The 18758-nt window shown below is 37.7% G+C and overlaps 1 long non-coding RNA gene across 1 annotated transcript in view; it reads left to right on the forward strand.

The window, feature by feature from the left end:
• The window catches only part of DBX2-AS1 (DBX2 antisense RNA 1), a 52118-nt gene extending 40665 nt beyond the window's left edge, over nt 1-11453 (forward strand). The window contains exon 2 of the long non-coding RNA NR_186005.1: nt 11403-11453. This is a non-coding gene — a long non-coding RNA (DBX2 antisense RNA 1). The remainder of the gene's footprint in view (nt 1-11402) is intronic.
• Nucleotides 11454-18758: the final 7305 nt, after the last annotated feature.

Consider the following 18758-nt stretch of genomic DNA (forward strand, 5'->3'; position numbering starts at 1 on the left):
TGGCCTCCCAAAGTCCTGGGATTACAGGCATGAGCCACCGCTCATGACCTGAGGTTATATTTTTAATAGTAACATAAAATTGTCATTTCTAGCAAGAACCCCAAATCAGAAATCTACAGATGCAAGTTCTTGGTGATTAATTTATACATGCTTCCCCCAGTTCCTGTAAGCATCACAATCATGCACTTCCTTTTACTTTGGGAACATAGTGGTAAGTTCGAGTTCTCAATCTATATGGGTACAGGGATATTTGGTATCCCAAGAAGCGTCCTGTGCACTTCTTAGACATGTAGGAGAATGCTGTAGCCTGCAATCCACAGAGCAGCCAGCTACAGGGAGAGAAATGCAGGCTTGGGCCAATGTGACCTCAGTGGCTAGGATCAAAAACAGAAGGGGTATTGAAGTGGCTCTTACTCCACTTCAAAACCAGAAAATAGGATGTTCAATACATTAAAGAGACAGTGGTTAATTTTTATTAAAATCATGAGCACAATTCCTCTTTGGCAATAATTGCCATCATTCTACTTAGCTGACTCCCTGCCTCTAGACTCTTGCCTCACCAATCCATCATTACATTGCTACGGAGTTGTCATCCTCAAACACAGGATGGATTATGCTCTTCACATAATAGAATGATTTTAGGCTCTTCCTACTTATTCACATATTTCCTCATTAAATAAAGTTTTCACAATTTGATCATATTTTAATCATGCTCAGCTTCCCCACAGCTTGCACAATATTTCACAAAAAAGTGCTCAGTAATTGTTTCATGAATTGAATATGCAGTGATCAATTTTAGTTGCTTACTATATAAATATGACAAGTTCCTTGATGAGAAAAAGGTATTCCTCACTGGTTCCAAAGTAAGGTTATCAGATAAAATATAGTCACTCAGTAAAATTTTGAATATGAAATTCAAATTCAAGTGGACATTCTCTTTTGTTTTGTTTTATTTTGATAAATCTGGCAACCCTAGTCCAAAGACATGTCAGTTTCACGACTGCCAGGGTTAACTTCTGGACAACAGTGAATTCATGTAGGCATAAATCTGTTCCCATTCAATTCTGCTATAGCAATGTGTGTATAGCTACTATGAATTCCTTCATGTAAGGGGAATGTAAAGGGAAAAATGAGCAGAAGAACAAAGGCAGTCGTTTCTAACTTGATTCTTATATTCTCACAGGTACATAGTAGATATTTGAGGTACTCTGGAATGATAGCTCCTAATAGATAGTTGATCTGATCAGCAAGATAGCCAAGGTAAACCTTTGAGGTCATTGAAATATTCTGCTTTTAAATCATCAACCAGGACATTTCTTCCCACTTTCCTTGAACTTTTTTATTGCCTTTCTGGCATCCAGCCACAACAAGGTCATTGTGTGGGCACTGGTTGTGCCAACCTTCCATGCTCATCCCTGAGGATCCATGTCTACCCCAAGCTATTTAATAATGTCTCCTAACCTTATTCCCCACCCACACGTACCTCTCAACCCCAGCTCTTTTCTTTTCCAGTTTCCTAGGCAACAGTTTGCTAGTCTAATAATAAACCACAATGCTTGCCAACTTAAAATGAGAGATCAATAGAATCCCCAGGATTCTCCTTTGCTCCTAGATAACGTCTGCTGTTTAACACTAACCTTCTGGGGATAATTCCTGGCTCCTCCTTCGTTGTCTGATCAAAAAGGGTTGGAATTTCCTGTAGGAGTGGGTGATGTGCTTCGTGAGAGAATTGTTTCTTGAAGAGCGAAGCCTTACAGTATTCTTCAATTCAAATTATGTGAGCAGCTATCAGCTGATGAGTTCAGCAGAATCTCTTATTTGTAGAAGTGTAGTATGTTCAGACCTCACCATTCTGACTAAAAAGTAATTTCATATTTATCCAAATGCCACATAAGTTGAGCTCCCAGTTGCCCATAAGGAACATATTGCTCCTCAGAACGGTGCTGTCCGCATCCTCTTTCAGGCCATTAGAGAAGAAAGCCCATAAGATATTCCAGACTGGCCTGTCAAATCTCTGTTCCTTTACTTCTGCAGACAGACTCCCATGAGACCACAGCCTCTCCAGAAAAATACTTCCACAAAACCACAGACACATTTAAAGTAATGTAATTGACTAATTGCAGGAAGTAAGTTTCTGGCCATGCAACATATTGAAAAGATAAATGTCATTAGGATTAAGCCAATGACTTCAGCCACCTTAGCAACTGCAGTTTAGTCAATCACACAAACTATTAGCAGACATGTGATGGAACCTGGAGGGAAACTGTGACACTGAATTAAGGAGAACAGAGACTGCCTGGACTTTCTGTTAGAAGAGGGCACAGCCTTCCATTTGCCAGAATATTGCTCCATACTCAAAAGCTGTGAAGCCCCAGATGTTAGTCGTGCACTCATTAGGACTATGGCTGCTAGTAATTGAAACCAACTGAAGCTAGCTTTATGCATTTATTTATTTATTTATTTATTTATTTATTTATTTATTTATTTATCTATAGAGCATGGGTCTCAACATCTTACCCAAGCTAGTCTTGAACTCCTGGCCTCAAGCGATCCTCTTTCCTTGGCCTCCCAAAGTGCTGGGATTACAAGCATGAGCCACTGTGGCTAGCCAAGCCTAGCTTTAAGAAATGAAAATGAAGAATTTATTACAATGACATAGTGAAGTCTCATGATTCAAGGAAAGAAGAGGGACATGAAAATGGGAATCTCCAGCAAATCTAAGCTCTCCTTCCCTCTGTGTGTTGTTTCATTCTTTTTTTTTTCTCTTTCCCCACGAGCTTTCTCTGCTCCCTCATCTTCATAGAGGGATATGTCCTTTCACCATATTGGGTTCAGCCCCACAAAGAGACTGAAAGCTCTTCTTGAAGTGGGGTGGGGGAACCCTTCAAGCCATATTTCTCCAAATGGCATCCAGGAGCCCAGCCTCGGTGGAATGGAAGGAAAGTAAGGGTCACTGTGAGCTTGGCAGATGCTACAAAAGGTATAGACTACCTTCACCTTGGTCACCTCCAAGTTGAAAAAAAAACCGTATAGACTACAGGTGGTCACAGCTACCATTTCTCTAGTTTCCCTTTGACTAAGACAAACTTGGAATAGGAAATAGTAGAGATGCTAGATATCTGGTCATACACTGATGTTAAATTTGTCATCAAGCAAATTAAGAATAATAAGAAAGTATACTAAAAACAGTTTAATTCACAAAATGAAATGTATTAGAGTATATAACAGAAACTCCCCTCCCATAAACCCTAACTATTCCTTGGTTTGTCTTCCTTTGTAACTAAGCAGGTGAGAGGTTAGAAGTAAAACTCAGCTGAATTGATTTAAAATAACATCAGTCTATTTTAGCCCGTAAAGGCTTTTGCTCTAAAATTACTGATGGTTTACGACTTGCAGAGTTTGGACCTCCAAAGTTTCCTCAATGCATTCTGGTTTCATTTCAAAAGAAGTGAAGATCATCTTACAAAAAGTAACTTTGGGATGCCATTCAGCTCTAATAACTAATAAAGTGAATGAAGCTTTACTTACTTTTTCTTCTCATTTTTCCTCTTTTCTTTGGTACCCCTTTCACTGAATGGTTATACTTTATAGTTATCTCTTATAGTCATCTCCAAGGTAAGCATTTTATTGTGCATCCTTATGCTTAAAATTAATACATTCCTTCAATTTATGTTTATTTATTTACTGAATTATGTATATTATGAAGTAGATGAATAATAAACACTTTAAAGAATGAGCTAAAATAAATGTAATGGTGAAACTACGTCTCTACTAAAAAATACAAAAATTAGCCAGGTGTGGTGGCATGCGCCTGTAATCCCAGCTACTCAGGAGGCTGAGGCACGAGAATCACTTGAACCTGGGAGGAGAAGGTTGCAGTGAGCCAAGATCATGCCACTGGACCCAGCCTGGGCAACAGAGTGAGACTCTATCTCTAAATAAATAAATAAATAAATAAATAAATAAATAAATAAATAAATAAATAAAATGTAAGCAAACATTCTAATTTTTTCTTCCCAAGCCCCAGTAGGTCATATTGTGCACTGATCTATTGTCACAGCATAGTCAGTTCATCTGAGTCCAGTTTTCCTTAGTGCATCATTTTTATTGTCCTAAAGGGCAGTCCTGGACTTTTAGTCTAAGGTGTTCCTGATAACCATATTTTAAAATGATTTTTCTAAGGCTAAACTTTTAATTGTATAAGTGCCCTGAAAATTGATTTGTAATGAACACACAAACACACGAGTGTAAAAGTGACCAGCCTCAACTAGACAAAGTGAATTTCTTAAAACAAACAAAAATCTTTGAAAAAGTCAAACATGCTGGCACAGGTGGGCTCTTAACAATAAGGCTATACACATTAAGTAGGTGGAGCAAGGAGTCAGGCTGTGGTTGACTTGGACTAACAAAACCCTAGAAAGCGCCCGGCACCATGGTTCACATCTGTAATCCCAGCACTTTGGGAGGCTGAGGTGGGTGGGTCACTTAAGGTCAGGAGTTCGAGACCAGCCTGGCCAACATGACGAAACCCCCTCTCTACTAAAAATACAAAAAAATTAGCCAGGCATGGTGGCCCGCGCCTGTCATCTCAGCTACTCGGGAGGCAAAGGCAGGAAAATCCTTTGAACCTGGGAGGCGGAGGCAAGATGGTGGCACTGCACTCCAGCTGGAGTGACAGAGTGAGACTCCCGTCTCAAAAAACAAACAAACAAAAAACCTAGAAGGGAAGAAAGAAAGCCAATTTAGATAGTGACTCTCTCCAATGGCCAAATGACCAAATTCTGTTGTTTTTTCTCCATGTCGTTCCCTCTGTCTTCCCCCAGACACCCAGGCCCTGAGGTTATTCTGCCCCTGCCAGTGTTTCAGACCAAAGGAAATCGTAAGACATGGTTAACAATAAACCAGCAATCTTATCCTTTAATAAAGCCCTTGTCACAAAAGGCATGCCAAAATTTAAAAAGCGAACTGAAAACATTTATTCAAAGAATGGCAGACAAAGGATTCATACCTCTGATCTGTAATAAGGGCATACAAATGAATGAAATCAGAAACACCTTCCACTAATAAATTGGCAAAAGCTATTCACCAGAGAATAAATGATTGATTGGCCAATATGTAGGTAAATGTTACTTCTTTACTTTTTAAAATGTCGTGAGTTAAAACAACAAGATACTGTTTTTTCTCTGTCAAATTATCAAAGATTGTAAACTATCAAATAGTCTAGCCAGAATGTGGTAAAATGAGCACTGAATTCATCACAGGTAAACGTGTATATTAACTTGACCCTTTGGAAATTAATTTTGCAATACCAAAAGATGTATATTTTCCTTGATCTAGTAAAATCTTGGCTGTATCCCTAACCAAATTCTCTTCTGTTAACTTATCTTACAGAAATAGAAAAGAAATATTTAGAGACCAACATGTTTATTGGCACACTGTATAAAGCACTGATAATTTTTAAAACAGATTTGACAATATAAAAATAAATTACAATATATCTACAAAATACATTATTGTTTAGCTTTACAATTTTATGTTTATTAGGACAGCTTGGTGCTATGATGATTGCTTATGTTAAAGTCACCAGTGAAAAAACTGGGATGTGCAGTTATACTATAGTAATGACAACAACCAAGAAGGAAAGAAAAACACAGAAAAAGGCTCTAGGTGGAAATAAACAAAAATTCTGAGTTATTTTCCTTGGTTTACAGATCTATGAATGCTTTTAGTTCCTTTCTATAGTTTCTATTTTTAGATGTTTCTTCAAATTTATATCCATGTAACTATTATTGAGGAACTACAATTTTCCAGACACTGTCCTAAGAGCTTGGATAAAGTAATGATAAAAACAAAATTTCTACTTTCAATAGGGTTGCCAGATTTAGCAAATAAAAACATAGCACATCCAGTTAAATTTGAATTTCAGGTAGACAATGAATAGGTTTTACTATATGTATAGTATTTTATCTGGCAACCCTAACTCTCAAGGAATGTAATTTTTTGGGAGATAAATTTTCTAAATGAACATGAAACTAACTTTTATAGTTTATTTTTTATTTTAGTAAGATACACATAACATAAAATATGCCATTTTAACCATTTTTAAATGTACAGTTCAGTGTATTAAGTTCATTCATGATCTTGTGCAACCATCACTATTATTTAGTTCCAGAAATTCTTCATCACCTCAAAAGGAAAACTCCTTGTACAATGTGAATTTACTTCCCATTCTCCATTCTCTCCAGTTCCTGGCAACCACTAATCTGCTTTCTGTCTCTATGGATTTGCCTATTCCAGATATTTTATATATACATGGAATCATAAAAGATGCAGTCTTTTATGTCTGGCTTCTTTGACTTAGAATAATGTTTTTAAGGTTTATTCATGTTACAGCATGTATCAGAATGCCATTTCCTTTTATGGCTGAATAACAGTCCATTGTATGTATCTATCACATTTTGTTTATCCGTTTATCTATTGATGGACATTTGAGTTGTTTCCAACTTTTGGCTATTGTGAAATATATATTAATTTCATACCTTTAAAAATAAGTATTATTTAAACCATTATCCCCAGGAGATGATGTCAACCTTTTTCAGAGCTGATATGGTTTGGCTGTATCCCCACCCAAATCTCATCTTGAATTCCACCCTGCCATGTGGAACTGTGAGTCAATTAAACTTATTTCCTTTATAACTTACCCAGCCTCGGGTATGTTTTTATTAGCAGCATGAGAACAGACTAATGCAAGAGCCTTATCTACTTCAATGTTACGTGGTCAAATAATGCTGAGTAAAGTAGATGGCCAGGCAATATTCAGTCGACACAGTATAATGTATTGAGCAAAGTAAAATGCTAGGTTTTTTGGAGATAAAAAGAAAAATAAAATGTAAATCTTGCCATCAAAAAGCTTATACCAAATTCTGGGAAATGAAAGTCAAAAGTCCAGCATTTACTCACAAGCAGGGCTACTAAGCTGAGTTTGTGTTACCAACTCAGAGCTTCTGCTAGAACAATAAGTAGGGCGCAACATCACATCTGCATGGTTAAAATTCTTACCAAAAAAAAAAAAGTGTTCTTCCTAGAAAAAAAGGGAGAACTTTATCCAAAGATAAATCATGGTTTTTAATCCTTAAAGCTACCAAAAGACCAGAAATCAATATTGGAGTCCCTCCTGAGCACCTCCTCACAACACAGGCTAAATAACTAATTTCTGCCTTCCCATTTTTAGTGATCATTCTTTTGTTTCAGGTCCTCTGAGGTTTTCAGACTTACATCAGCAAATTCTTCCTTCAAACAGCTGGGGAAGCTGGCTTCCTAAACCTCTTGCTGGCATCATCATAGAGCATTATGAAGCATAAGAGATAGAAACAGACACGGGGGGCACCGGGATGCTTCTTTCTCTGTTGGCAGAACTCCAAGTGGCCAATGCCTGACCCAAAGCCAAGGAGACACAGAGGGGTGAGGCTGAGTAAGACAGGGTGCTGACAAGAAGAGTCAGAGACTCAAGATTCCCCAAGTGTCTTCTATTATACAATTGGTTCATATTCTGTCCCAGAACCTGCCACAACTTTCCCTCCTTCACCCTTGTTCGAGTTATCTGTACTGCCTAACTTCTACTGCCCACTGGCTGACTAAAATTGTATGTGTTCTTCCTCTAAGGGTCAATGCAAATCCTACCTTTTCCAAAGAGTCCTTTCTGATCTTCCCTTCTGCAATAAAAATAGATGTGATTTCTTCCTTCTCTGGACTTTCTTATCTCACCATATTTATTATAATTACTGGATATTTTATTTTATGTTACTTTTTAAAATTTTTTTGTGGGTACATAGCAAGTGTATATATTTATGGGGCATATGAGATGTTTTGATACAGACATGCAATGTGAAATAAGCACATCATGGAGAATGGGGTATCCGTCCCCTCAAGCATTTATCCTTTGAGTTACAAACAATCCAATTACACTCTTTAAGTAATTGCTGGTTGTTATGAATCATGCTGCTGGCTTATTCTGTTGCTCCAATTGCAGTACAACTGTCAACACTTGATTTTATTAACTCATCCATTCCTTTAGTAAATATTTACTGAATATGAGATCCACAGGAACCATATAGCGGTCTGTTTCTCTGCTGACTCAGACTGCTCTTTTTATTCTCTTTTGCCAGCACAACTTTCCCACCATCCCTTAAGGATTGGTGTTTTCCAGAAGTTTGCGCTGAAGTTTCTTCCAGTATCTAACATCTGATATAGGTGCAATCACTTCCCTCTCTGGAGCCAATGGCAGATACTACTCATCATTCATGGAACTCCTTCCCACTCTGCCTGATGGTAGCCTTAAATTCTTTCCCAACACAGCACCTGAGAAAGCTATCAATCATTTGGAGATGATAAGCGACATAAAATCTTTCTGTGATCCCTGTCCCTCTCTCCCTGGATGATTTCATCTACTACGACTTTCAGTTTTAATAATACTTCTGTGAAGATGATTCTACCACCATCCTGACATTTCTCCTGAATTCTAGATACATGTTTTCCATAACCTATAGACTTTTTCCGCTTACTTTCTCAAACTCAGCTTTGTCAAAAACCCTACTTACCATATACCCCATAAAACCTAGCCTTAGATATTACTATTTACACAATCACTCAGCCTAGAGACTTCAGACTTATCTCCACTTTCTTTTCTCTCTTGCTGCCTATCTCCATATGCAGTTGATTGTAGGTTATATTAATTCCACTTCATAAATGCCTTTTAAATATACAGTTTCTTATCCTTTTCCACTTCCTTCGTTTAGACCTTCATGGATTGCCTACGTGGATTCTTGCAAGAGTCTGTCATTCTCCATAAATGAATCACTCTCCTCTCCAAATTATCCTCTTCTTTGCCATCAGTTGTCTTCCTAAAGCATCCACCTGGCCATGGTAATGGTTTCTTTCATTCCCTTTCATGGATCCCCAAAATTCTTAAGTGCCATCAAGAAGAAATACCAAATTCCTTTTTAGCATGATATCCAGAGCCCTTCGCACTCTGGCCCCAAACTACTTTTCCAAGTACACTTCTCATCACTTCTCCAATTCCCAGCTTTCTGCTTCAGCATACCATACAAGCTACTCCCTAAATACCTCATGAACTTTCATACCTGTGTGTCTTTCCTCCTGCTGTATCACCTGCTCAGAATGTTTTTCCCCACTAACTGTTGGGGAAGTTCTCTTTCAACGCTTAGCTCTCCCCTTCTTCTTCCATCCCCTTTACCTCTCTCTACCTCCAGCCCAGTCTCCATTAATGGCCTATGTTGCTTTGTCATATGATGGTCTGTTGGGTCTACCCACCAGGCTGGTGACAGCTAGAGTAGTCTTGTTCATTTTTGGATCCATAATATGAATTGCAGAGTTCTAACACATAGTAAAGGATCAGTAAATGTTCTTCGCATATGTCACAGAGAAGCACACCCTATATTCTAAGTCACTTTTCTCTTTGAAGAGTAGCTAGTTGGTAAAATACGATGATTATTTTAGCTTGTATTTGAGTCTCATTGTATTTGAGTTTGTATTGAGCTTGTATTTGAGTCTCATCACTGGATGAGTCTTTAACTGGAAATTGTTGAGTTGCCCATACTTTTCTCAAACCTCCAGTGAAATTTTCTTGGAAAGTTATGCACAGGTGAGGCAATGAATCCAGACTTTGTAAAACAAAATTGTCCCATTATTTTCTTCTTGTAGAAATAAAAACAAAACCATCAAAGCTTGATTGACGTAAATGGGAAAAACCCTTTTGTTTTGTGTAATCTGGTGTTTTCATTAAGTAATTTGCTGAAGAGGAAAAGAGTCTTTGCAGGGGTTCCAGAAGCATTCTGCCCAACAAAGTCTGATTAATTTGAATAGTAGAGTTAGTCTCCAACCTTACCCATAAAAGCCATCCCTAGAAAAAAAGACTTCACACTCACAAGCTGCTTCTACTTCTGGAGACAAATCCCATTTCATGCCGTCTACCCAACCCTGGAAGAAAATCATGACACTGTCAGAATGAAATGTATTTTAAAGAGGGAAACCTTTGTTATGGTAGTGGTTGAGCATAATAATATGATAAAAATTTCCTTGGTCTATGTAATGACACAACTTTTTACTATCAAATATAAAAATTTTGGAAGGTGTAGCAGAGGCTTAATGCATACTGGACTTTAAAATTAAAGCTAAAGTAGCTTTGTTGGCGGCAGTTCTCCTCTAAACCAACCTAGTAATATTTACTTGCATTATAAGACTGTATTTAATAAGGCAAATGGGTTTGATGAATTATAATACATTGTAGTTTATGAGAGAATAAAGGTCTCCAGTACAGATATTGCTGTCAGCAGTTCTCACTGGAATTCCTTCATGGATTGTGGAGGTTGATTTAAATTATGCAATTCAAAATTTAAGTAGAAGCATTAAGAAATGGATCAAGACAGAGAAAGGTGGAAAAAAATCCCACAAAGCTAAGATACCAGTAAATGAATCTTTCTTACAAAGAAAAAAAATGCCAGCTTACAAATGAGCACTCTCTTTAGTTAGCAGGCTAAATCAGTGTGCAGGCCTAAATAAAGGGAACAATGGACACCTTCTGACACCAGGCTGTGTGTCTGGTGAGCATCCCTCAGTGCAAATGTTAGTACTGTGTGAGTATTTATTGTGTTTCTATAAAGTCCTAATGAGCTCCTTGGGTGAGAGTGAAACCCTTTGCTTTTTCACACTGTGCTCAAGACCCCTAAACTTCATGGGGTCAAATCTAAAGAAAGGGTAATGGACCATGAGGTCCAGCTTAATAGACCTGATATTAACACAGCAGCAAGAATGTCACCAAATGCAAAGTTTAGGGCAAGCAATGAATGAAGTATTTGTTACACTTAAATAATATACAAAGGTTATAACAGAGTAGTGGCACTATATCAATGTCATCATTGCAGGACTTTGAAAATCTCCCATGTATGAAATAACCCTGTAACACATCTTTTGGTTACAATAAATGAATTTGCTTTCCAACAGCAAATAATAAATTACAATAGAAAGTTATGCAACTGTTTGACTATCTGTAAATCTATAGTTAGTTTTAGATATTGAAAATCTCTTGCCCATATAAATAATTAGGATACCATTAGTATCTAATACTCATATAAGAGAAATGCATTATATTCTTCATATTGGTTATACAGTTTATATACTTAAATGAACATTTTCTCAAAATGAAACAGAGATTTTTCTTTTATTGGATAAGGTAGATATTCTTGCTTTGAAATAAGTAAAACATCACCACACTGAAGATGAGATCATAAGGCAGAACCACTTGTGTAAATATAGGACCCTTTCACCAGACTCCCTCATCCATGGAGTTGTTGGCTCATCACAATAACCCTTGTCTTTTATTACAGTGGAACTTCAGTTCATATGATGCAATGAAAGCTGCAGACCTGAGATCTGAAAAATCTGCACTCCATGGTTTGATTTGTAAATTAACATTAACGACATCATCACTCACTCTCTCATGGGTAAGAATGGGAAGACCTAGGGGTATGAACCAGTAAAAATATTGTATGCTGCTTCACTTTTCATGTTTTTATTTTCTTGCTGGGTTAATGAAATACCTTTCTTTGGAACTGACTGAAATAGGTTATAAATTATTTGAGGACAGGACTGTGTCTCTACTTCTGCTGTTTTACGTTCCTATTCCCCAACACCAAAGACACAGCCACAGTATTCTCTACATACTCCACACCTGAGGGATATGTTTAGGAAATGTTAGTCATAACTTCCCAACTCCCCTCTTTTTCTATGACTTGATTGTCACAAAAGTGAAAAATTGGCATTTACTCATAAATTTCAGGCAGGACATTGTCAAATTGTTCAGCTAATATATATTCTTACGAACTTTCAATAGATTACTAACTGCTAACTTCCCATTTCACTTTGCATTATTGATTTGATTTCCAGCAGTCTGCCCCATCCACAAATTTTTGGAGGTTAGTGGAATGTCACTTTCATATTTGTAAAATTAGACTAGGTTCAATTAGTTGAAAAACCTCACAGGTTTCAGATAACTACTTTCAAAATTCAAATACATAAAGCAAGGATATTTACAAACCAAAAACTACACCAAAGCTCTTAAGTGCTGTGGTTAACTGCCGTCATTTCTCTTTGACTAATAAAGATGGAGGGAAAATGACATTATTTTACTTGTTGTCATTTTCAAAGAAATACAGAGAAATTTAGAAATGGAAGCCAATTAATTTTTAATAATGAAGAGAAACCAAAAGCAAGTTATCTGTTGATGGGGTTGACCCTAAAGAAAGGGCCCTAGGACCTAGCCCAATGTGTGCAATACAGGAACATAGAAACTCTTAGCTACCTAAAAATATCATCTCCACCAGCCTGCCAGAATGTCTAGAACTTCTGTAATTGGAGTCATGGCTGTGCATTAAGACAGTTTTTGGTCAGGTGTGGTGGCTCACGCCTGTAATCCCAGAACTTTAGGAGGCCAAGGTAGGCAAATTATTGAGGATAGGAGTTTGATACCAGCCTGGCCAACATGATGAAATCCCGTCTCTACTAAAAATACAAAAATTAGTCAGGCATGGTGGCGGGGGCCTGTAGTCCCAGCTACTCTGGAGGCTGAGGCACGAGAGTCTCTTGAACCCAGGAGGCAGAGATTGCAGTGAGCCAAAATCATGCCACTGCACTGCAGCCTGTGCGACAGAGGGAGACTCTGTCTCAAAAAAAAAAAAAAAGACAGTTTTTAACAGATGCCCATTAAAATGCTGACGCAATACATTTACCCAATAATATCCATTTTCTCTCTGATACGTATTAGCCAAGAGCAAGACATGGTCCAGAGCAAATTGCTTGAACCAAAAGAGAGTAGAGTCTTGAGTAAAGTAGGATGTGAAAAGAATTCTGGAGAGCCAGGAGGCCCCAAAGACAATGGCTGTGGGGAGGAAGACCCAACCTAGGAGAGTGGGGTTGTACTGAAGACTTTGCCTTCTTTGAAATTGGCCATAACACCTGGTTATGCCTATTAGTAAACTGTTTCTAAATGTTTCCCTACAATTAGCAGCTCTTTAAGGAATTTAGATTTATACTTCCTGGCTTAAACATACAGAGGGGCAGTTTTTATTCTAAAAGAAGTGTGTGATTCATTTCTTCTCATATACTTTTAGAAGTGAGACCCACACAGATGTTAGAAAAGAGGTACTCCCACTTCCAGCTAAGATGGAGTAATAGGGACCAGATTTATCCTCCCATCAGGCACACACACATACACACATACACACACATACACACACACACACACACACACACACACACACACACATATGAAACAATGATTTTCAAGACATTTAACTTTAGGAAATGAAGGACAGTGATGACTGAAATGATTTTTAACAGAGTTTATTTTTAGAGCAGTTTTAGGTTCACAGCAAAATTGAAAGTACAGAGTTCCATACACCCTCTACTTTTCCCCACCTCGCCCCTGACAGACACACACTGTCAACATCCTAAACCAGAGTGGTACATTTATTACAAGCAATGAACCTACACTGACACATCATTATAAATCAGAGTCCATAGTTCACATTAGAGTTCACTCTTGGTGTTTTATATTCTAAGAGTTTTGACAAATGTATTAATGACATGTATCCACTATAATAGTATCACAGAGAATAGTTTCACTGCCCTAAAAATCATCCCTTTTCCCAGCCCCTGGCAACCACTCATCTTTTTACTTGTCTTTATGATTTTGCCTTTTCCAGAATGTTATATAGTTGGAATCATACAGTATGTAGCCTTTTCAGATTGGCTTCTTCACTTAATAGTACGTATTTTAGGTTCCTCCATGTCTTTTCATGGCTTGATAACTCGTTTCCTCTTAGTGCTGAATAACAGTCCATTGTCTAAATGTACTACGGTTTATTTACTTATTCACCTACTGAAGGACATACTTCCAAGTTTTGGCAATTATGAATAAAGCTGCTATAAACATTTGGGTGCAGGTTTTTGTGTGGGCTTAACTTTTTGATTCATTTGAGTGAATAACAAGGAATGCAATTGCTGGATCATATGGTAACAGCATGTTTAGTTTTGTAAGAAACTACCAAACTGTTTCTTCAGTCGTGGTTGTACCATTTTGCATTTCCATCAGCAATTAATGAGAGTTCCTGATGTTCCACATCCTCGTAAGAATTAGATGTTGTCAGTGTGTTGGACTTTTGCTATTCTAATAGATAAAAGTAGAATCTTGTTGTTCAAATTTGCAGTTCCCTAATGACATATGATGTTGAGTATCGTTTCATATCCTTATTTGCCATCTGTGTATCTTCTTTTCTGAGGCGTCTGTTCAGATCTTTTTTTTTTTTAAGACAGAGTCTTACTCTGTCGCCCAGGCTGGAGCACAGTGGTGTAATCTCAGCTCGCTGTAACCTCTGCCCCCCAAGTTAAAGCAATTCTCCTGCCTCAGCCGTCTGAGTAGCTGTGGCTACAGGCACGCACCACCATGCACGGCTAATTTTAGTAGAGACGAGGTTTCACCATGTTTGCCAGGCTGGTCTCAAACTCCTGACCTCAAGTGATTCACCCGCCTGGGCCTCCCAAAGTGCTACAATTATGGGTGTGAGCTACCGTGCCTAGCCTGTTCAGATCTTTTGCCCATTTCTTCATTAGTTTGTTCATTTCTCATTGCATTCTAAAAGTTATCTGTATATCGTGAATGTATTCTCTTGAATTCTTTATCTGGTATATCCTTTGCAAATGTTTTCTCCTAGTCTGTGGTTTAACCTCTCATTCTGTTGACAGTATTTTTCACAGAACAAAAATTTAATTTTAATGAAGTCCAGTTTATCAATTATTTCTTTCCTGGAGCTAAAAAGTCATCATGTTGCCCAGGAGCATCTAGATTTTCTCCTGTGTTATCTTCTAGGAGTTTTTGGTTTTGTTTTGTTTTTAATATCAACTTTTATTTTAGATACAGGGGGGTCCATGTGCAGGTTTGTTACATGGGAATATTGCATGATGCTGAGGTTTGCAGTATGGATCCCATCACCCAGGTAGTGAGCATAGTATCCAATAAGTAGTTTTTAACCCAGCCCTCTCTCCTTCCCTCCACACTCTAACAGTCCACAGTGTCTATTGTTCTCAAATTTATGTCCATGTATGCTCAGTGTTTATCTCCTATTTATAAGTAAGAACATGTAGTAGCAGGTTTTCTGTTTCTGCATAAATTTGCTTAGGATTATGGCTTCCAGCTCCATCCATGTTGCTGCAAAGGACATGATTTCACTTTTTATGAATGCATAGTATTCCATTGTATACATGTACCACATTTTCTTTATCCAATCTACCATTGATGGGCACCTGGGTTGATTCCAAGTCTTTGCTATTGTGAATAGCACAGCAATGAACATATGAGTACATGTATCTTTTGGGTAGAATAATGTATCTTCCTTTGGATAGTTACCCAGAAATGGGATTGCTGAGTCAAATGGTAGCTCTGTTTTAAGTTCTTTGAGAAATCTCCAGACTGCTTTCCACAGTGGCTGGACCAATTTACATTCCCACCAGCAGTGTATACGTGTTCCCTTTTCTCTGCAGCCTCTCCAGCATCTGCTGTTTTTTGACTTTTTAGTAATAGCCATTCTGGGTGGTGTGAGATTGTATCTCACTGTGGTTTTGATTTGCATCTTTCTGATGATTAGTGATGCTAAGCATTTTTTCATGTGTCTGTTGGCCACTTGTATGTTTCCTTTTGAGAGGTGTCTCTTCATGCCCTTCACCCGTTTTTTAATGGGGTTATTTGGGGTATTTTTACTTGTTGATTTGTTTAAGTTCCCTATAAATTCTGGATATTAGGCCTTTGTCAGATGCATGGTTTACAAATATCTTCTTCCATGCTCCAGGTTATCTGTTTGCTCTGCTGATAGTATCTTTTGCTGTGCAGAAGCACTTTAGTTTAATTAGATCCCACTTGTCTATTTTTGGTTTTGTTGCCATTGCTTTTGGGGACTTAGCCAAAAATTCTTTGCCAAGGCCAATGTCGAGAAGAGTATTTCCTAGGTTGTCTTCCAGGCTTTTTATAGTTTGAGGTTTTATATTACATTATATAAGTATTATAGCTAATTTTTGTATGTGGTGAATGGTAGGGGTCCAGCTTCAATCTACTGCATATGGCGAACCAGTTATCTCAGCACCATTTATTGAATAGGTAGTCCTTTCCCCATTGTTTTGCTGACCTTCTCAAAGATCAGATGGCTGTAAGTGTGTGGCTTTATTTCCAAGTTTTCTATTCTGTTTCATTGGTCAATGTGTCTGTTTCTGTACTAGCACCAAGCTGTTTTGTTTACTGTGGCTTTATAGTATAGTTGAAAGTCAGGTAGTGTGATGTCTCTGGCTTTGTTAAATTTGCTTAGCATTGCTTTGGCTATTTGGGCTGTTTTTTGGCACCTCTACCCTAGTTCAAGCCACCATCATCTCTTGTCTGGATTATTATAATAGACTACTGACTCCTTTCATTTCCAGTTTTGTCTTTCTGTAGCAACCTAAGTGATTTTCTTTAAAATATACTTATTGTCACTTCCCAGCTCTCAATTCTCCAAAGGCTTCCCATCACACTGGAACTAAATCTGGATTTCTTATAATGGCACACCTAGATCACCTGGCACTGCCTGCCTCTTGGACTTGTGGCCTCCTGCTCATCTGGTTTGTTTCATACCATCTTTTGCTCATCTAACTCTGGCTGAAATTGGCCATTTTGCTGATTCCCAAAGATGCCATGCTTGTTTTTACATCAGGGCCTGCTAGGGACTGAATTTTGTACCCACCTGCCCCCAACTCAAGTTTATATGTTAAAATATTAACCTCCAATGCAATATTATTTGGAGATGGGGCCCTTGGAAGGTCTTAGAGTTACATGAGATCATGAGGGTGGAGCCCTCGTGATGAGGCTAGAGCCCTTATGAGAAGAAACACCTGAGAGCTTGCTTGCTCACACTCTCTCTGCCATGCAAGGACAAAGCAAGATGGCCATCTGCAAGCAAGGAAGACGGCCATCCCTGAAGCCCAGCCATGCTGGCACCCTGATCACAGACTTCTAGCCTCCAGAACTGTGAGAAAGTAACTTTCTGTTGTGGAAGCACCCAGTGTATGGTGTTTTGTTACAGCTGCTCAAGTGGACTGATGAGGCCTTTGTGCTTGCTCTTTCCTCAATCCAGAACATTCTTTCCTCAGATCTTTGCAGGTGCTAGACTTGCTCCTCGCCTTTGCAGGGCCCAGGGCAAAAGTGAAAAAAAAGGCTCCTTATTTTATGTTTGAAATGATAAGGCAAGATAACAAACTGCCAAATAAAGTGTACTCTATTCTCTTTCCTTGACAAATGTTCATGATGACAATTTTTTAAGGGTAAAGCTATGGCTATTATATAATATAGTAGGCCAAACATCAATGTTCATTAATTTTAATAATTCTTGTGCATCTCTAGGTGTTCTATTGATGGAACAGCAATGTTTAGAGACTTAATAAGATAAAGACCTACATAATTCAGAAATTATTATATGTTTTATCCATTAAACTTCTTTCTTCCTTTCATTTCAGCAAAATCACTATGTTTTGTAATCAAAATTTTCACAACAATCCATGTTTTGTTGACCATACTGATCTAAAGGATGAAATATAATGTAATTATATTCAAAATGCACAAAATTAGAATAAATTTTAATGAAAAAGGCAAATTAAATGTAAAAACATTGAAATTATTCTTCAGGCTTTCAAAGAAGTTATTTTTTAAATGTTAAATTATTTATTAAAACTAGAAAGTACATTATCAATGATAACAAATGAACATCAAAATCTTAATAAAATTATTTAAATAAAGGTAAAATTTTATTTCATTTTTTGAAAATTCACTTAAAATGTACTAAATATTTTTATACATATAAACTACATACAATTGTAATATTCAATGTCCATTTAATGTAGAAAATGGAATTAATTATAATTAATTTAATTTGGAATTAAGTGAAACTAATTAATTTCTTCAAAACCACAAACCAGAATACAAGGGAAAGACAGGAAGGAAATGGACATGTACTTAGCACTACTGGGAACTAATTTGTCATTTTGCAAGGATCTATTCCTTTCTAAGAGGAAGGAGTTAACAATTACAGTAATTTTTTTTTTTAATTTTAGCACCTCAGCACAACTCACTTGTCCTTATGGCATTAGGACATTATTGCCTCTTGTTATGAAGTCACAGAACAAGAGATTTTTGACAGGAGTTTCCCTGGGGCCTGAGGAGTTTTATTCACAAGCAGAGATGTTTAAGGTCATGAACTGTGCTATGCAAGCACCTATGCCTGACCCTGGGTAACAGAAGTGCCATGTATTCTTTAATAAATGTCTTTGTGTGTGTTTGTGATAGGTGGGGACCTCTAGTGTGCTGAGCCCAGGGACGCTGCCCTCTTGCCTGAGTCTGAGTGTGGTATTACAAAGCTCACTCCTTTCATTCTTTCAGGTCTTGGCTCAAATGTCACCTTACAAGATACTGCCACCCACCCCCCGTGCGCGCACACACACACACATGCACAAAGACACACACGTATGCAGGTATGCACATACAAATGCTTATCTATACAGACATGTGCCCTATGACTGTCTAGTCCCTCTTCCTATTTAATTTTCTTCAGAGCACTGATTCCTACCTGATATATGTCAATATATTAATTTTTTTTTTGGCTATCTCCCCA

This window comes from Homo sapiens, chromosome 12 (assembly GCF_000001405.40).
Source record: "Homo sapiens chromosome 12, GRCh38.p14 Primary Assembly".
Lineage (NCBI taxonomy): Eukaryota > Metazoa > Chordata > Mammalia > Primates > Hominidae > Homo > Homo sapiens.